Source organism: Homo sapiens, chromosome 18 (genome assembly GCF_000001405.40).
Source record: "Homo sapiens chromosome 18, GRCh38.p14 Primary Assembly".
Lineage (NCBI taxonomy): Eukaryota > Metazoa > Chordata > Mammalia > Primates > Hominidae > Homo > Homo sapiens.
Genome location: NC_000018.10, coordinates 58,478,697 through 58,498,965, shown reverse-complemented (window position 1 = coordinate 58,498,965; position 20,269 = coordinate 58,478,697). Strand labels below are relative to the sequence as shown.

Sequence of the window (20,269 nt, the reverse complement as noted above, 5' to 3'; positions counted from 1 at the left end):
GAAGTTTGGCTTTGAACTAAACACATGCCCCTTGAGCCCTGTGTTAGTCCATTTTCACACTGCCGATAAAGACATACCCAAGACTGGGTAATTTACAAAGAAAAAGAGGCTAATGGACTCATAGTCCCATGTGGCTGGGGAGGCCTCACAATCATGGTGGAAGGCGGAAGGCACGTCTTACATGGCAGCAGGCCACAGACAGAATGAGAGCCAAGGGAAAAGGAGAAGCCCCTTATGAAATCATCAAATCTCCTGAGACTTATTCACTACCATGAGAACAGTATGGGGGAAACTGCCCCCATGATTCAATTATCTCCCACTGGGTCCCTCTCACCACACATGGGAATTATGGGAGCTACATTCAAGATGAGATTTGGGTGGGGACATGGCCAAACCATATCAAACCCTCTTGCTATTGGCATTGACTATCCCAGGCCGTGCCTACTTTTCTTTCCATCATGTAAGGGTTTCCACTTTCATTGAAGAACGGGGAGCCAGACCTAAGCCAAAGTCACCGTATTTCTGGGGAGATTGCTTACGGGACAAGCATCAGGCCTCAGATTTTCTCACAGAGTGGCCAGCTCCCTCCTTGTCATGGGGTGGGTGGGCCAGGCAGGCAGAGGACTTCATTTCCAGAGCCGAGAGGGCTTGGGTTGTCTGCTCACATGAGACTTGATTCCCCCTAACTGCCACCTTCCCCATGGTCCCTGCCTAAAGCTGGATGCGTATATGAAAGAGGCCTCGAGTGTTTATGCAGGAAGGAGAAGGAGGATGAGCTGTCATTACCCCTTCCCTGGGGCTAGATGGCCCAACTTCCTGAGGGGCCCTGAGTAACACAAACTCCCATCTTTGCTTTCTCTTCCTGTAGGTGTAGGAATGAAGCTAACTGACGTTGGCATAGCAACGCTGGCTAAAGGGTGAGTAGGAAAAAATGGAGTGTGCATCAATTAACACTGGGCTTACAGACACCTTCCAGGCAGACACTGTCAGGCTGAGGTGGGCAAAGTGAATTTCTTGTCCTAACTGTGGATGACGAATGTTCTTGGAATGAATTCATTTCTCTCACTTACATAAAATATTTATGGACTTTGTTCTCACAGGGGAGCACATTTGTTTCTTAACTTTGAAACAAATGAGAACTCTTGCAAACACATTTCAAGATTAATAACCAATAGGAGTACCACGGGGAGAAAATGCTGGCATTACTTGGATGCCTTTTAACTGGGAATATTCCGTTCTTTTACATTTAATATCTTCACTATTAAAAGCTTCTTTGAAAAAAAATTTTTTTTGCAATTGAATGCAGTGAATTCAATTTGTATATTTTAAATTAATTTTTCTCCAAAAAGTATTTTAGGCAGCTCACAGACCCCCATGATGATAATCATAGGAGGCAATGTCTCTGGCAGAGCTGTGATTAGTTACCTGTTTTTGATGATGGCTTTATTTTTCTAATACAGAGTGGTGCTTTGCTTAGTGTGAGGCACACACAGATGATGCTATGATCACATTTTACTGGGGCATCTTTTTAACAAGCTGCCCCTTCCCACTTCTTTACTTGACTGCCACTGAGGAGAAAGCCAGCCATTTGTTGTTCTTGGTGAAGATGCAATTCTGTGTTGGAACCACCATCGCCTTTGCCCACTCCTGCTCTTCCTACGTACTAAGACCATCTGTAAGGGGGAGGAAAAGAGAGCTCATGACTTTTGGAGGGGATGGCTTCTATTTCAAAATGTAGGTTTTATTAGTATGAGGTATCGTAAGGTCAACAGATCAGGAGATAGTTGCCATTGAAAAGCTAGTTTGTTACTTGCAGCTGCCAAGAGGGGGCACCAGGCCACCAGGGGCCATCTAAGAAGCAGCAGGGCCAGTTGGGAGGCAGAGGAAGTGAGGGGAAAATGCAGGCAAGAATATTATGGTTTATTCGGGAAGGAATAGGTGAGGGAGGATAAACAGTCCTAGGATTGGCTAATTTGACATTTTCCAGCAGTCTCTGGGACATAGGGCTGGCCCTAGTGTCTGGTACCTGCACTGGGGTGATTAGGGCAGGTGGACAGTGGCCCCAGTATGAGAGACCACAGAGGGGGTATTAGGGGTGTGGCTCTGGATTGGTTGGTTTGCATATATATGAAAGGCTCTCTGGAAGGTGATCATTTACTCTCTCTAGGAATATGGCAGCCCTGAGAGGAGTAAAGTCTCTCCAGGGCCAGTAAGGCACAAGATGTCAAAGCATCAGAAACACAGAAAATAAAGTGGTGGGATGAATCCAGCTTCCTTTCCCAAGGCTGAGAACAACTTATCCGTGGGAGCTTTCTGGTTACTTCAGACCATCAGTGTCAGCCACGATCCAACAAATATGCTAATTTTCAGCTTCAATAAAGGACAGAGAGAAGTAGAGGAATCTGAAAAAGTAGGAAGGGGATCGCTCTTTCTTTTAACCTCCAGGTCAGTAAGTCTGATTCATGAAGTTCTCGCCGATTGCACAAAGCTTCCAGTTGGGTTTTAGAACCAGAATGCGGTTTGGACCTTTTCCCTGGGATGGCTCAGTGATGATGAAGTTTTATGTTGGAACTGTCTCCAGGCTTCTCCCCTGTGCTCACCAGAGACCTGGCTGGCATACACTTCAGGGAATTGGGTATGTTCTTGGGCTTGTGAAGACAGCGCATTAGGAGGGATTATGATGTAGTGGGGAGGAAGGAACGAGGGATTTAGAGCGAGACCCAGTTCATACCCTGATGCTGCTGCTTCCATTTCTCCTGATAGTAGCCTCGCTTCTTGGCATCGTAGGAATTTGCCTAGCCTACCTGATGAGGGGGATGAACGTCTATTGCAGTTTCCCCATGATGGTACCATTTTATGCCTGATGTCCTCACATCCCATACGCTTTAGCATTGATCCTGAACAAGTGTACCCATTTAGAAGATAAATTATATGGTGCCCTATTTATGGAGGCTTCTGGACCCCAGAAGGATTTTCCAAACGGAGCCTTCCTTTCCAGGCTCCATGTGTTCTGCAGAACCTTGCAGATGCAAGCATCCGCCAGCCCTAGTTTGAATCCTGGCTTCTCGTCATACCAGCTGTGTGACTGTGGGCATGTGACTAAGTTCTTAAAGTCAGTGATGTACAGCATGGGGACACTCCGGCTTGCCCTGAGTATTCCCCCAGTTAATCTACACCTAGCCCCTGAAACTGGAAGTGAGCTAGATAAATATTAGTTTCCCTTCGCTCCTCATGTCTTAGCCTGACACCAGAGTAGGCAAATTTCGTGCTGTTATTTAGAACAACTCTCTACCAAAACAAAGAAGAAACCTGCCCAAGAAGTTTCAAAAATGAAGATGGTCATGATTATTGAAGACATCTTTTAAATTCAAGTCAACAGCTTCCAGGAACCCAGACCGACTGGGAGCTTCAAGTGGTACATTTTTTCCCCTCCTGATTTAAAAAGAAATCCAATCCTTTGGTTTTGTTCTCAGCTTTAATGTGACTTATCTGGCCCGGGACAGCTGCCCAAGACCCATTAGAAGCACTGACGGCTGGAGCCCAGTGCAGAATGCTGTCTATAAAGTATTACTTACTCATTGCCTTCCCACCCAAGGAGAGGCCAGGGAGCAGGAGCTGGGAGAGGAGGAGATTCTGAAGTGTTTGAGAGCTTTGGCAGGGATATTAGATCTTCTTGTCTTTTGTTTTTTAAAAACTTTTCTTTAAACGTTACCTTTTTAAGCCACAGTCTTTTTCCCAAAAGAAATATATCTTACAATCACAGTTTGAAAAACTGATGAAAAGGTAAAACTTCTCCAAACAGAGCATAAGAGGTGGTTGAGAGACCTCTTTAGAGGCTCCTGGGAACCCCTCTGGAGTGGAAACCAGTGATCAAGCCCGACCTCCTCACTTCACAGGTGAGGAGGCATGGGGCATGGGGCATGGGGCATGGGGCAGCCTGCTTGCTGGCAGGAGTCAAGAAGTCTTTCCTGCTTGAAGTCAGCACCCCAAAGTGAACGGCAGATCCTCAATGCTGGGAGGCGAGGCACAATTGAAAAAGTTCTCCAGTGAATGTCAAAGCTGCAAAAGGGAGATAACTCATGAGGACAGACTTGGAAAGGGCTCAAGTTCAAGGGCACTCTGCAGACAGGAAAGTCCAGGTGGGAGGCAAATGAGCTGGGGAAGAAAGGAAGGCGAGCATCGCAGACTGCAGACAGCAGGAGAGAAGATGGAGGAATAAGGGTTGATCGAGCAAGTTCTCTTGATTCTTAGCAAGCAACTGTGAGTGAGCTTAGTTCATTCATGATGCAAAGGGAGAGTCGCAAGTTCTATGGGGGGGCTGGTACCTGGCAGGGTTCAGCTGGGGGAACAGCACCACCATAAGAAGCAGTGCTCCGTGTGTCATTTAAAAAAAAAAATTCCCATATGTCTCAATCAGGACCATATATTTGGCTGCTGACACCCCAGTCATGCAACCTGTTTTGCTGTCTTGTTCAATGAAGTCAAAGGCTATGATCCTATTTCAGGAGTAATTACTCTAATCTCATAAAATAAAATAGAGAATTGTCATGACTTACTCATTTTAATTCAACTTTACTTCATTGTATGTTCCTTTTAACAGGAGTATGTCATATTTCTCTTGGGAGCCAGAGATATAATTATGTCTGGAAACACATCCCCTGTGCCTCAGCCACCTCAATCTTTTGGCAAATGTTGAGTACAAAAATTTCAGGTTACAAAGTATGGCAAGTAAGATTGTTTTGACATCCAGTAATCCATTTTCTAGATAGACCCAAGATACTAACCCGTTGAACAAATTTCTAATTGGAAATTACACAAGGAAAAAAGGCCTAATTTTATAACTGGAGATTTGGAAACGTAACCTAACCAACTCCAGACCGATCTAAAGCCATGCGTGCAGTGGAGCCGAACTGCAAACTCATGCTTCTCTCCAGCCAGTCGGGGAGTTCCCGGGGAGGCGACGAGATTGCAGTTCAACCACCAGAGGGCACCAGAACCAATACTTTGCCCTTTGTAGTCTCCCCTAAAAAGCCAATTTCCTGTTGCCAGATTGAAATAAAACAAAGAAAAGTACCATTAGCAGATTTCTTCCCTGGCAGTAAGCATTAGACCAAAATAAGATTAATATGGACAGCCGTAAAGGACACCCCTCGCAGTGGCTGCCAGCCAGCCTTGCATCTTTCTACCCTCGGAGGAAGGAACGACGAGGCTTAAGGATGTGTGGCTTGTGTCAAGCGTCCCTGACATGGAAGCCAAATTCCCGAGACCCTGGACAGAAGCCTGGATGATTCATTCATGTAGCAGGAGGACAGTTGCCTTGAGAAAGCAGGCTCCATTGGGGTCTGCGTGCCTAGCTCTGGTCCTGGCCATGAACAGGAGAAAAGATCAAAATAGACTCCCACACTCGGCCAAGCTGAGTTCCAAAAGAAAGGCTCTGCCTTCAATGCCCACAAGCAGATGGAGGGGACGGCAGCCACCTGGGATGCTTTGCCCAGTCACAAGGCCGAGCCACCACCGTACCTGGAGAGGAAGCGCCAAAACAAACTTGGAGGTGGGAAGAAACAATCTAATCCGAAGAAACACGCCCCGAGAATAGGCTTATGTGCATGAGTGGTGACTCCAGGCAGACTATTTAAAGCAATGCATGAGTCTGCCAGGAGAGGAAACAAAGGGACATTGGAACAGAATTCCTGATGCCTTTAAAGTGTCTCATAGCAGGGCCATGTCACTATAGAACACCAAACATTTCAGCTGAGTCCCCAATGCCAGGCATCAGCGGACCAATCTCACAGGCCTGTCAGCTTGAGAAAGGCAATTTTATGCCCCAGATAGCTCCTGTCCCCGCCTGCCACAGGGTCATCTGTCCTGGAAGGCCACCTGCATCCCATCTTCATCCGGTCAGCCCATTCTGTAGTAGGGCTGGCTGGCCCGCTGGCTGATTTATGTGGCCAGTCTTTGCCATTAAGGAAGTTTGGAGGCTGGAGGGAAGTCTGAAGGGAACAGTGGTGATTTTCGCAGTTTTTGGCAAGGCAGACCCTACTATAGCAGTGCTCTCAGTGTATGGGGGAGTCTCCCAGGCCCAACAGAGCCAGCCAGGACATGCCCCCTCCATGGAGGGACTAGCACAGCAGTATCCTGGCCTCTACCCAGAAGTCTTACAAAGGACAGTTCTGTTGAAATGTCTGGAATTGGGATCCATGGGTTCCTCCCACTCCTGACCCTATTCCCTAGTTGTCCCTCTGCCCAGTCCATTCCCCAGGACCTGAGGACTCAGGGACAGGTGCTGCATCGCTTGTCATCCAGCTTCAGAGATGAATCTGAACAGAGAGAACGTCTAGAGAAGTCTGGTAGATTCGAGATCACCCCTGCAGGACAGACTGGTGGCCAGTAGGAGACAGAAGCACGAGGCAGGTACAGGGATGGCTGAGAGGGTTGGGGTGACAGAGCCTGAGTGGACAGCATGGGGTGAAGACCAGAATAGACAAGAAAAAGGTTATCACTGCCTTCAGGAAGGTCTAAGCCAATGTAGTGTCACCAGGTGGGAGCCTCATGACAGATCAGAGAGGGAATGTGCTGCCAAGATGCCAGCAACTAAACAAGTTTGTCGACTAAAGACAAGGAAAAGTCTAGAAGGTAGCCAGAAAAGGAGGTGTGGGGAATGTGTGCGTGTGTGTGTGCGCGTATATATGTCTGTGTGCGTGTCTTTGTCTTTGTTTCTGTGTCTGTGTCCCTGTGTATGTGTGTGCATGTGTGTCTGTGTGTATATCTGTGTCTGTGTCTTTTTGTGTCTGCCTCTGTGTGTTGTGTGTGTGTGTGTGTCTAAAGAGACCTTGCCTGTTTGAAGGCAGAGGGGAAGGAGCCTGTGGGAAAACAATGAGGGACTAACGGCGGAGTGATGTTCCAGAGTGGTGAGCACCCCTCGTGAGGATTCAGAGTTTGTCAATACGGAAGGCCCTGCAGCCCTCGCTGTGCAACTTGGAGCACACTGGAAATGTGGCTTTGCCTCTATCCACCCTCACTGCCACCCAGGGCGTCAGCCCAGCTGCTCCTCTGAATGGTGAATTCTCAAAAAGCCTGTACCTAGTGGGAATGCTGACGCGCTTCTCCCTCACCTCAATTACCTGCCCTGTGGCCCTGCAGAGGCTCCTGTAACCGCCCCACAAGTTCTCCTTGCCTGTATGCCTAGACAGGACATGGCCGATTTATCAAGATGGGAACTGCAACAGAGAAAGAGTTTAATTCACATAGGGCCAGCTGTATGGAAGACTGAAGTTTTATTACTACTCAAATCAGTCTCCCTGAAAATTTGGGGATTGGGGGTCGGGAAGTGGGGGTAGTGCTGATTGGTCAGGTGGGAGACGAAATCGTAGGGAGTCAAAGCTGTCCTCTTGTGCTGAGTCAGTTCCTGGGTGGGGGCCACAAGACTAAATGAGCCAGTTTATTGATCTGGGAGGCGCCAGTTGATCCATCGAGGGCAGGGTCTGAAAAACATCTCAAGCACCAGGCTTAGGTTTTACAATTGTGATGTCATCCCTAGGAGAAACTGGGGAAGTTTAGAACCTTGTAGCCTCCAGCTGCATGACTCCTAAACCATAATTTCTAATCTTTTGGCTAATTTGTTAGTCCTGCAAAGGCAGTCTAGTTCCCAGGCAAGAAGGGAGTTTGTTTTGGGAAAGGGCTGTTACCGTCTTTGTTTCAAAGTCAAACTATAAACTAAGTTCCTCCCCAAGTTAGTTTGGCCTCTGCCCAGGAAAGAACAAGGAGAGCTTGGAGGTGAGAAGCAAGACGGAGTCAGTTCAGTCAGATCTCTTTCACTGTCACAATTTTCTCAGTTATAATTTCTGCAAAGGTGGTTTCACTCCCATTTGCAGATAAAACCAGCACAGCCCTTTGGGGATCAGAGCTCTGGGGCTTAGGACAGTGGGCGAATCTCAGGCTGCTTATCTGGTGGGTGTCTACCTACAACGCCCCCTCCTCGGTTCTTTGTCTTCAATTCGTTTCCATTTCAGATACTAACGAATGGACTGTGTGCTTCCTGCATATTCATGGGGATGGGACTCATGCGACCTCAAAAACGGACCCATAGTAGATGAGTGCTTCTCCCCCTCCCCTGGGCTCTTCTCTGAGCTCTCTTCTTCGGGACTCCTGTCTCACAGAACCTCCTGGTTGAGGGTGCCATCAAAAGCAATGAGAGTAGAAACTGTGCAAATGTACAGGGATTCTAGAATATGTTGCCAGCAGACGCAGAGACCAGACTCATTGAAGGTGGGGCACCTCTGCCCTCCTCTCACATTTTTCTGCAGAAAGAGGGAACTTTTTGTATTCTTTTTTTTTTTTCTCCAGCCAGGGAGGCTATGAGGGAACATAGAGCCAGGGCTTGGTTTCTGTTGGGGGTAGCTGGGACTGTGGCTTCAACTGAGGCCTGAGGGAGGGGCCATAGCACTGGGCAAGAAAGGCAGAGAGTGCCAGGAACCAAGGGGAGGGGCTGGACTTTGTTCAGAGGGAGATGGGGCCATCCAAGCAGTTGCTTGGCCATGACAAGATCTGACCTGCACCACCTGGACCAGGCGGAAAGCAGGGGCGAATTGCCTGGAGGCTCCCCTGACTGGCCCAGGGAGGGGCAGTGGTGGCTCAGATGGCATTTGTTCAGATAAGTTGCTGAAGGTTACCTGCCCCAAGAGAAGGTCACCTTGTAGACATCCTCAAGGGGGACAACTTCTCTAGAAAACACAGATCTGGTTACACTACCACGTCCCCGCCCTCAAAAGCTCCATGAATTTTTAAAAGTGCTTTTCAAAGTAATTATGTGAAACAAGATTTCTGTTGTCAAGTAATTTTGGGAAACCCTAGGTTGAATAAGTTTAGGAAGTTTCTTTTTTTCTTTCTTTTTTTTTTGAGACGGACTCTCACTCTGTCACCAAGGGTGGAGTGCAGTGGCACAATCCTGGCTCACTGCAACCTCATTCAAGCGATTCTCCTGCCTCAGCCTCCTGAGTAGCTAAGACTACAGGCACACGGTACCACACCCAGCTAATTTTTGTATTTTTAGTAGAGACGGGGCCAGGATGGTCTCAATATCCTGACCTCATGATCCACCAGCCTCGGCCTCCCAAAGTGCTGGGATTACAGCTCCCAAAGTGCTGGGATTACAGACATAAGCCACCATGCCCGGCCAGGAGACTTCTTTAGTGTGAGACTTCATATGGTCTTTAAAGAGCTGATGTGTATTTTGAATGTCCTAGGGACAAGGAAAGATATTATTATTATTATGACTGTTTTGAGATAGGGCCTTTCTCTGTTGTCCAGGCTGGAATGTAGAGTCCTGATCATGGCTCACTGCTGCCTCGAACTCCTGGGCTCATGTAATCCTCCTGCCTCAGCCTCCCAAGAAACTGGAACTACAGGCATGCACCACCACACCCAGCTATTTTTAATTTTTTTTTGTAGGGGTGGGGTCTCACTATGTTGCCCAGGCTAGTCTCAAACTGCTGGGTTCAAGCAGTCCTCTCACCCTGGACTCTCAAAGTGCTGGGATTACAGGCGTGAGCTACCTACCATACCAAGCCTAGGAGAGATATCAGATAGCATTTCTCACAGCATTTACATCACAGAATTTCAAAGACTCTTGTGGGACTGTTGCTCATGAGAACGTATTTTGGAAACCAGCATGCCACAGGAGAAATGGCACGGCACGGCTTTGAAACATTTTCACACATCCTCCGACGGCATCTCCCCTCAGAACACCTGCTCTGGCTCACAACGTGCCTCTGAACCTTACCATGTTGTTCCCTCTGCCAGATAAACCCCAAACCATCTTTCCTGTAGGAACTCTTGTAGGAATCTGCTCGGCAGTGTGAAAATGGCACCCTCCGCGTTTCCACAGAACTTCCTCCCGCTGAGATGTGACAGCTTGCTCCAAGATGGCCGCTTTTGGGAAAGTGCCGCTCCGCTTATTAATTAATTCCTTTTAGTTCCCCTACAGTGTCTGGCACACAGCTGATACCTGATCAATGAAGAAATCAATGAGTACACATGAAAAATGAAGGGTATGAGTGGCACTCCGGGAATCTCTTGCTGTTTCCAGGTGGAAGGCTCCCCATGTCCCTCCCTTTCCATGCAGGTGACAATCCGTTCTACCGGAGCCTAAGTCCAGCCTGGCTTTATTTTACACACACACATCACACACCAGACCATGGCTTTGTTTCAATTCTTCACCCCCATCCTGACCTCGAATTCCTTGTCCTTGTAGCCTTTCCCTATGCGTTAAAACTTCTTCAGAAAGGATCTCAAGCTCAAGCTGTTCAATGTAGCTTCTGGTTGGCATCTAATGGGTTACCAAAGTGCAGGAAAACTTTTCAGTGGGTTTGCCTTGCCTGTCTCCATTTCCTTTATTAAGCCAGCCAAGAACCTTGGTTTCTCTAACTCAGCCGGGGCTGGAAATTTCTGTGACTTTCCTCCACCCCTGCTCTCCAGGTGTGTTTGGAGCCAATACATTGTCCAGCACGGTTGTGAGCGGATCCCAGAGAGAAAGCAGTCACCCTGCTGCTATCAGTTGGTGATTTCTGTGTGAGTCTGAAAGGCTATGCCATTCATTATTAGGATGAGAGGAGAGAGGAATCGTTCTTAAGCAAGACATCAGCCTGGCACAGTTTCTAACACATAGCAAATCTTGAATAAATCTTTGTTGAGTGAGGGCAGGACTGTGGAAACAGCCTCCATAGCTCCTCTCCAGGTGGGATGTTTCAGTGTGACTTTATTAGATTGTTTGCCTCTAACTTCATAAACATAAGATATACTTGTGTTCCAGTTTAAATATAAAGGCATTTCCAAAGTCAAATAGAGATGAGTGTAGATCACCACTTTTGAGTAGTTTATCTCCTTGTTGCTCAAAGGAGAGGGGGTCCCTGGACCAGTGACATCAATACCCCCCAGAGCCTGGTAGAAATGCAGAAAATTCCACCCCCACTCCAGACCTACTGAATCCAAATCAGCATTTTAACAGGGTCTCGAGGTCATTCGCAGGGACCACTCTCATCCAGGGGGAATATAGTTGAGAAAAGACTATATATTGAATGCTATTCATATTTTTTGTTTTTGTTTTTGTTTTGTAGAGATAGGGTCTCGTTATGTTGCCCAGGCTGGTCTTGTATTCCTGGGCTCCAGCTAACCTCCTGTTTCAGCCTCCCAAAGTGCTGGGATTACAGGCGTGAGCCAGTGCGCCTGGTCTGAATGCTGTTCAGTGGAGTACATTTAGTGTTCCAATTCTGGACATTGTGAGAGAGGATGGATAGATTCACATAAAGAGATAGGCTAAAAAATTATACTAATTAGAGGTTAAGGACAAAAAGACCCATTTAGTAAAATTCTATAGAGTTAAGATTTTTAAAAATGAAAATATTTGAAAAAGATCTCAAATACAAGATTCTTTATTCCATTATGTTAGATTCCTAGGGCTGCCATAACAAATGACCACAAACCAAGAGCCTCACAGTGATAGAAATTGATTGTCTCACAGTTCTGGGGGCTGGAAGACTGAAATCAAGGGGTTGGCAGGGTTGGCTCCTTCTGCAGGCTCTGAGGGAGGGTCTGTTCCATGCCTCTCCTCTGGCTTCCGGGTTTGCTGGCAATCCTTGGAGTTCCTTGACTGATAGACGCATCTCTTTAACTTATGTCTCCAACATCACATGATATTCCCCCTGTGTGTCTCTGTCTTTTGTCATCTTCTTATGAGACACCAGTAACAGTGGATTGAGGGCCTCCCCTGCTCCAGTGTGACCTTATTTAAGAAATTCCATCTGTAATGATGTGATTTCCAAATAAGGTCACATTCTGAGGTTCTGGGAAGGACGTGACTTTGGGGATGGGGTGGGCAAGGATGCTACTCAACCCCCTATATCTATCCAACATGAAAAGGATAGCGAGTTTCTGCAATGGTGATCCTGTTGGAGAGATGGCCTACAGCTCCAGATTCAACCCTCAAGGCAGCGGGTGGCACATGTCGCATGTAAGGTGGGTCACTAGCAGGGAAACCTGCACTTCCCATTGCTTGGGTAGAGGAGAGCTTGATGTTATTGAATTCATGTCCTTTGAATGAATCTGGGATAATCAATCTAAGAACACAAAGGATGTTGCCCTATTTTTCTTCTTGGGCAAGGGCAATGGCCTTGGTGATGGCTGTCAGTTTGTGAGAACGGGTCAAAGCAGCAGCCCAACATCCTGGCTGAGACAGAGGCCAAATTGAGAAAGGAGGAAGATTTGTAATTTCTGTAAATGCTAGGTAGCAAAGAAAAGTCTGCACCTGAGAAAGACAGGGAAAGGGAAGTTCAACACTGTCTGACAGGCCAAGTTGAGGGTCGAAAATTAGAGAAAGAGATGTTCAGAAATGTGGCGTGGAGACAAGGTAGTGCTGAGCATGGAGCTGGGCCCCATTCATTTTGTTCTTTCAACATTTATAGAAAAGCCTCCCCTGGACAGGCGTTCTGGGCATAAAGCAGTGTCCTGAGAGAGATCATAATCTGTGCAGAGAAGATGGGGCGCATACACCCCTAACTCTGAGAGGGGTGTCTAGTTCTCAAGAAGATGCAGGGAGGAGGTTGGAGAGATGTCCTCTCATGGTGCGGAGAGAGCCCACTGGAGCTGGGGCTCGAAGGTAGCTAAGGGCTGAGAAAGGGTCTCTGAGATGGTGCAGAGATGCCTTTGCTCTCTGGCCTCACCAAGCCCAGGCACAGCCATCTTAGCCTCTGCTGCCTGACTCCAGCTTTCTGCGAGGGTCTAAAGAAAGAGGTTAAGTGGAGGTGGAGAAGGAGGCAGATTCCTGAAAGAAGTCTACCCAGGGGCTGCCCAGAAGTCACGCTCCTTTGACCCAGCTCAGCTTTTTCCATTCCAGAGGTGGAGACTATTAGACAGGGGCTCTCTTTTTACCTGGCATTAACACCTGCCGGCAAGGGAGTGCTTCAGGACGAAGTGGTGATCTTTCTGGGAGGTCACAGTGTGAATTAGTTATTTTTCTCTGCAGAGACCAGATGTTGTCTGAATTTGAAAAGCCTCGAGGCAGTCCTGATGCAAATGACCGGGACTTGTTTCCAATGTGCTCAGACAGGGAAGCTGCCCCTGCCCACTCGTGACACTCCCCATTTGAGGAGCTCAGGAGTTGGTGTGAAGCAACCGGGGTCCCCCCCCAGTGGCAGGTGGGATTAAACCATCCATCCTGACGGAGCAGGCCCTGCGTCTCACCAGGGAGAGAGCGCTCAGGCATACAGGAAACACTGACAAGCTGACATTTCAGCCTTTCAGGGAGCTCCTGCAGAGGAAGATAGAGATGTAAAAATGATACCATTAGCAGTAGACGATTTCCCACTCTGCCAGATTCAACTCCTTTCTTTGGTTGACCTTTTCTTCAACGAGAAAGCTTGGCTTTTAGAAACCAAGTCATTTTTCCCAAGGCCATGGACTGTGGGCTCCCAGGGGCAGAGCAGTCCCCCAGCCAGGAGGAGGAGGGGCAGCTGGATTTATAACAATCACGGCAGGGTGGAGCTGCAGGCTGCCGCTTTAGCTTCCGAGAGGAAGGAAACCTTTCACGCCCTTAAGAGCTTAAAAAACCCAGCTTGGATTGCACAGGGAAAAAACTCTCTCCATTCAGTCCAGGTGTGTCGACCTCTATAGTTTCTACCAGCCAATGAAGGAGGCCTGATTTCTTGAATCATAACAGCTACAGAATCCGCAACATGCCAGCATTACAGACTTCTTTTTGCCAGTTTGCCTTTGGCCCTATTAAGCAACAACGGCCAGCACTCTCTCCCACCGGGCAGGGCTGGTTTCATGCGTGTGCAATTTGTGCACAGGACCTCACACTCAGAAGGGCCCTGTGTTTGGTTTAATGCTCTGTGCTTGTTGTCTTGAAATTCTTACTACTTTTTGAACAAAGAGCCTGTTTTCGTTTTGTACTGGGCCCTACATGTCACTGGTCCTGAATGCCAGGCACCCTCTGCCCCTACCCTTTACCTGGAAAATCCCTCAGCTTTGACTCTCAGCTTCAAAGTCTCTTCCACAGGAAGCCCGCATCAGTTGCATCAGTTGTAATGTTGATAATTATAACAACACGATCAACATCAGCTGAATCTTTACTGTGTTATGCCCTGAGCTACATGGTTTCTATGGATTTTCTCATTTCATCCCCTCAACAACCCTATGGGCATTATTATTATTATTATTATATTATTTTTTGAGACGAAGTCTCGCTCTGTCGCCAGACTGGAGTGCAGTGGCGCGATCTCGTCTCACTGCAACCTCTGCCTCCTGGATTCAAATGATTCTCCTGTCTCAGCCTCCTGAGTAGCTGGGACTACAGGCGCATGCCACCACACCCAGCTAATTTTTGTATTTTTAGAAGAGTTGGGGTTTTACCATGTTGGCCAGGATGGTTGCGATCTCTTGACCTCGTGATCCACCTGCCTCAGTGGGCATTATTATTATTCACACTTTGGAGATCAGGAAACTGACAGAAACTTAGCCCACCAATTATTGTCCAGGTTTACCAGCCGGCAATGCTTCCCCTGCATCGTATTCATCATATTTCACTGTAATGACTTGATATCTGTCTTCTTCACTGGACAACATGAGTCAATGTCTTGTGTGTTCTCTGTTGAATCCGTAGCCTCAAGCACAGTGCTTGGCTAGGTGCGCTCTAGAGAAGGGAGGGAGGAAAGTTGCTGTCCCTTCCTCCCATGTGACTATATTTTTAAAGAACACAGCACTGATACAGGTCAACACAAAAATAGACAAATGAAAACGCATTCTGAACAACCACTAAAATAAAAGCATCCCACTCTTTTTTCAATCATCCTCTATTTGTTGAGCTTCTGCCATTTACTAAGCACTGGACTAGGTGTTGGGGTACAGTGGTGAGCAAAGAGTGACCTCTGCTATCACAGAATTTACAGTGAGTGGAGAGACAGAAATTAACCATCTCATCCACTCACAGATGTCAGACTGTGTGTGTGACCGTGCCACAAAGAGGAGGTGCACAGTCCAGGAGAGTCTATGACAGGGGGATGTGACTTGGTTGGAAAGGTCAAATGACCTGAGAATTTAAAGTGAGCAAGGGCCGGGCATGGTGGCTCATGTTTGTAATCCCAGCACTTTGGGAGGCCGAGGCGGGCGGATCACCTGAGGTCAGGAGTTTGAGACCAGCCTGGCCAACATGGTGAAGCCCTGTCTCTACTTAAAAAAAAAAAAAAAAATACAAAAAATTAGCCGGGTGTGGTGGTGGATGCCTGTAATCCCAGCTACTTGGGAGGCTGAGGCAGGAGAATCACTTGAACCCAGCAAGCGGAGGTTGCAATGAGCTGAGATTGAGCCATTGCACTCCAGCCTGGGCAACAAGAATGAGACTCTGTCTCAATAAATAAATAAATAAATAAATAAATAAATAAATAAAGTGAGTAGGACTTATCTAGAAAAAGGAGGAAGGAGCATCCCATGCAGGGGGAATACTGCAGGCAGAAACTTTTGGGAGGAGGGAGCTTGGACACACTTCTAATGGCTGAAGAGGTCAATGGGTTGGGAGATGCAGCCAGACAGTGCAGGATCACAGGCAGTTTCAGGAATTTTGTCTTCGTTTTAACAGCAATGGGATTTTAAGCAGGAGATATGACTTATGTTTTGTAGAGGTTACTCTGCTGGCAGTGTGGAGAATGCATTGATGGGGAGGGGCTGAGTGAATGTAACGTGGACCTCATAGGTTTACATATGTGCTACTTCAAAGTGTTTATCCCCATGGGATTCATGTTGAAGGCAAATTCCTTTGACAAAGGAGCTCATCTGCGGTGACAAGGAGGACCCTTGGACATCTCAAGGAGATGCCACTTATTGGGGAGGGTATGTGGCTGGCACTATGCTCACCTGGCCTCCTCCACACTCTGTGAGGAGCTGTGACTGGATTCAGTGTGTACATGGGATTTGTGGATTTTCTGGTGGCTGGCAGGAAGACCTGCAGGGTCACTTTCCTAGCTACTAAACAAGCTGCAATAGCCTACTACCCTTTCACATTCTGCCCAGAACCCAGGAAGCCTGCACCTTCAACCAATTTTTTGATGGATCTTGTTCATCTGCAGATAGCTGGGGAGACTTAGGGGCTGGGCAGCTGTCCATTCAAGGAGCACACTAACCTACCATAATTGGGACATGAAAACATGGCCATTTATAATTTCAGTATTTAAATGTCCCAACCAAGAGGAACAACCCCTGAGACTACTCCTGGCCAAGGAGTCAGCATGGAGCCTTTTAGGGCCTACTGGAGACAAAGGTTCTGCCAGAGACAAAAATTCTTCTTCTCCTGGGGACAAAGCGGGCTGCCAGGGGAGTGAGCTCTGCTGTAGGAGAAAGACTCAGAGGGCTTCATTTTAATCTTGTCTCTTACATCAACTTGCGTTGTTTTCTTGGGGTAGTCTCATGACCTCTTAACCTGAATTTCTTCAACTGTAAATTGAAGGGTCTAAACAAAATAATTTCTTTCAGTTCCAAAGTTCTGAAATTCTTTATTGAGAACTTCTCGGTGTGATGGAGTGGCTTTCGATCACTAAGAGATCTGTGTTTTATCAAAATAGCCCAGCACTGGTCATTGTGGCTATGAGGAACAGGGCAATAAAATGCTGGTACATTCCAACCGTGAGCACCTGGGACCCCTGGATACTCCAAGACCTTTGATCATCACTGTATGTGCCAGCAGATCTTTGCCTTTACTTATTTCCACAGTCTTTGTTTTTTACCTTCACTTATAGTTGTGTCTATCCTGCAGCCATTCTTATCTAAAACAGAAATTCATATATGTTCCATGCACCATTAGTTTTCCCTTTCAAGTTTTTCTTTTTAAACTGATGAAAGTGTCCTGTTTTTAAAAGCTATGTTTCCTTCCACCCAAACTCACAGGTACAAGGGATTTAAAGGCAACTGTTCCATGACCTTCATTGATCAGTTTAAAGCACTACACCAGTGTAACAAGTATTGCAAAATGCTGGGACTGAAATCCCTTCAAAACAACAACCAGAAACAGAAGCAGCCGAGCATTGGGAAAAGCAAAGTTCAAACAAACTCTATGACAATAAAGAAGGCAGGGCCTGAGACCCCAGGCGAAAAGAAAACCTAACGTCCCTGGGTAACCTAATGGCCACTGGCTAGCAGCACACAATCTCGCCAGGGAAAATCTGAGGCCACACAGGAGAGAATATACAGCCTGCAGAGAGTGCGTGGCAATCCTTACTCCCAGCCGACTGTGCGCCAAGATGCTTCTAAACCCATCACCTGCTGTCTTCACTCAAATGATTTCAGAACAGGATTTGCGACCAGGTTTATGGGGAGATTGAATCAACGATTGGTCTCAAAGACAGTCCATTCTTTATATACATGTTTAGCATTTTTACCAACCTCACATCATGTGTATATTTGTGTATTTGCACATGGTTGTGCTGTCGAGGACCTGGTGCTGAGAAGAGTCTGTTCACAGCCAAAATTCTTCCCACTGTCATTCCTAACCTGGGATTTCTAGACACATCCTGCTGTGATGTAAACAGAAATCACGAATTCGCTCACTGGATCAAGTTGTTCCACTGGTGTCTAATACGCTATTGTTGCCGGAGGTGGGTTCTGTGACGTGAAGCCATTTCCCATCATTCAACAGCCAGTTACAATTTTCTGTTTAATTAAATTCATATTTAAACAAAAAGTGTAAGATGTGTATATCATTATAGACACTTGCTCTTTAGAGTGTGTGCCGTATTTTACATTGTTTCAGGATTTGGTAATTTCCTAATAGGTTTCCTAGAGCACAAAATATTTGCATCTGTGGTTTCCCCTCATTCTTACATTACAACTTAGGTTCCATTGCTTTCTACTTTGTTCCTTAAACCCGAGCTGCCTAAACCCAGGGCTGACCCATGGTGGATCGCGCCAGAAGATGTAGGCCAGAAGATGCATGCTAATCCTGGCGGGGGTGCACCAATTCACAGGGATCCTGGCATCTCTAACCACTCCCAGCCCTCATTCCACTTGAGTCTCCTGACACTCAGAGCCTCCTTCCCTACCAGTTTGGGTCATGCCCAGCCGTAAAGCAGGATGGCTGCCTCAGTGAAATGTGAAATTGGGCAAGAGCAAACTATACAATAGCAACTCAGGGACCACTTTATATACCCCAAAATGCTTAAGAATATCCGCTGCCCCAACTATTTGCAACAACAATATTCTTGTTTCATTAATGGGAATGTTAATGGTAATGTTGTTTCATTAATAGACTATTTTTCAGAATTGTTTTAAATTTACAAAAAATGAGCAGAAAGTGTGGAGATTTCCTATGTGTCTCCTCACCCCACTCTACGATTTTCCCGTTACAAACATTTTGCATTATTGTAGTATGTTTGTTACAATTGATAAGATAATATCGATACCTTTTTTTTTTTTTTTTTGAGATGGAGTCTCGCTCTGTTGCCCAGGCTGGAGTGCAGTGGCGCGATCTCGGCTCACTGCAACCTCTGCCTCCCAGGTTCAAGCGATTCTCCTGCCTCAGCCTCCCAAGTAGCTGGGATTACAGGCACATGCAACCACACCTGGCTAATTTTTGTATTTTTAGTAGAGACGGGGTTTCACCATGTTGGCCAGGATAGTCTCGATCTCCTGACCTCAGGTGATCCACCTGCCTCGGCCTCCCAAAGTCCTGGGATAACAGATGTGAGCAACCGCGATATGTTGTTATTAATTAAAGTTTATAGTTTATATTAGGGCTCACTCCTGGTGTTGTACATGCTGTGGGTTTGGGCAAATGTATCATGACAGGTATCTACCATTATAGTAACAAACAGAATACCTTCACTGCTCTAAAATTCCCCAGTACTTCACCGATTCATCTCTCCCTTCCCCAACCCCCCAACCCCTGGCAATCACTGATGTTTTCATTATCTTCATAGTTTTGCTTTTTCCTGAATGTCATATAGCTGGAATCCTATGTGGCCTTTTCCATAGTTTGCTGTTTCTTAAGACAGATTTCATCTGCTGGACAGCTGGGAGAATTATAGCGCCACTTCTGAGCAGGAGGATGGATGCTTCGCAAACCTGAATGTGCACAGGAATCCCTGGATCTTGGGAATATGCAGGTTCTGATTGGGTAGGTTTGTGGCGGGGCCTGAATTCTGTGTTTCTATCACACTTTCTGGGGATCTCCTGTGGCTGCCGGGGATCACACTCAAAGAGGCAGTCTAGACTATGGGCAGGAGGGCCCTGAAATGCTGAGAGGAGTACCTTGGCCTCCTGGAGTTCAGATAGTCTGGCCAAGGAAAGGCCCAGCTCCTTCTGGGTTCTGATGTGTGAGGAAGCAGCTTGACAGCAGGACGGAGGTGCCACATGAGGCATCCACCACAAGCAATGCTGCCAACACAGAGATTTCTGTATGCAGCCCCCTTACGGAGGGGTGGTTGGCTCTCAGTGGAAGACTCCTGGCTTCTTCTACTTTAACATATACTATTCTCAGCCAGCCGCAGTGGCTCACGTCTGTAATCCCAGCACTCTGGAAGGCCAAGGTGGGTGGATCACTTGAGGTCAGGGGTTCGAGACCAGCCCAGCCAACATGGTGAAACCCTGTGTCTACTAAAAATACAAAAATTAGCTGGGTGTGGTGGGAGGCGCCCATAATCAGTTACTGAGGCTGAAGCAGGAGAATCACTTGAACCTGGGAGGCAGAGGTTGCAGTGAGCTGAGATTGCACCACTGCACTACAGCCTGGGCAACAGAATGAGACCCTGTCTCAAAAAAAAAAAAATATATATATATATTTTTGTACTTTTTTGTATTTTTATGCTTAGAGAATAGTGCGTATGTGTGTATATATATATATATATATACATATATATATATATATATATACACATACATGAAAAATCCCACTTGTGTTTCCTTTCTTATCAAAATCTGGTACCTGAGAATAGTATATAGTGTATATACAGTATATATAGTGTATATATAGTATATAAGTATATATAAGTATGTATTATATATAAGTATATATACGATATATCTGGTACCTGATATATCTTATATATATATCTTATATATAGTATATATACTTACATATAGTATATAGTGTATTTATACTATATACTATCGTGTATATATGCAGTATTATATTATATAAGTATATATATTATATATACTTATATATATACTTACATATATATGTAGTGTGTACCTATATTATATATACTTACATATATAGTATATATATTATATA

General features: G+C 46.3%; 1 protein-coding gene across 1 annotated transcript in view, besides 3 other annotated features; it reads left to right on the top strand.

Annotated features, from left to right (window-relative positions):
- The window catches only part of ALPK2 (alpha kinase 2), a 147,845-nt gene extending 130,126 nt beyond the window's left edge, over positions 1–17,719 (top strand). Inside the window, exons 12-13 of the mRNA NM_052947.4 lie at positions 869–917; positions 16,927–17,719. Coding sequence (NP_443179.3) covers positions 869–917; positions 16,927–17,143 — 266 coding nt within the window. The 3' untranslated portion in view covers positions 17,144–17,719. The remainder of the gene's footprint in view (positions 1–868; positions 918–16,926) is intronic.
- Positions 4,774–5,273: an enhancer, noted in NCBI's record as "H3K27ac hESC enhancer chr18:56160925-56161424 (GRCh37/hg19 assembly coordinates)". NCBI's record gives its function as "activates a minimal SCP1, AML or CMV promoter by ChIP-STARR-seq in naive H9 embryonic stem cells {active_cell/tissue: H9 hESC(naive)}" and the evidence as "EXISTENCE:reporter gene assay evidence [ECO:0000049][PMID:30033119]".
- Positions 4,948–4,997: a silencer, noted in NCBI's record as "silent region_9485". NCBI's record gives its function as "represses an Ori minimal core promoter by ATAC-STARR-seq in GM12878 lymphoblastoid cells {active_cell/tissue: GM12878}" and the evidence as "EXISTENCE:reporter gene assay evidence [ECO:0000049][PMID:35858748]".
- Positions 5,274–5,775: an enhancer, noted in NCBI's record as "H3K27ac hESC enhancer chr18:56160423-56160924 (GRCh37/hg19 assembly coordinates)". NCBI's record gives its function as "activates a minimal SCP1, AML or CMV promoter by ChIP-STARR-seq in naive H9 embryonic stem cells {active_cell/tissue: H9 hESC(naive)}" and the evidence as "EXISTENCE:reporter gene assay evidence [ECO:0000049][PMID:30033119]".
- Positions 17,720–20,269: the final 2,550 nt, after the last annotated feature.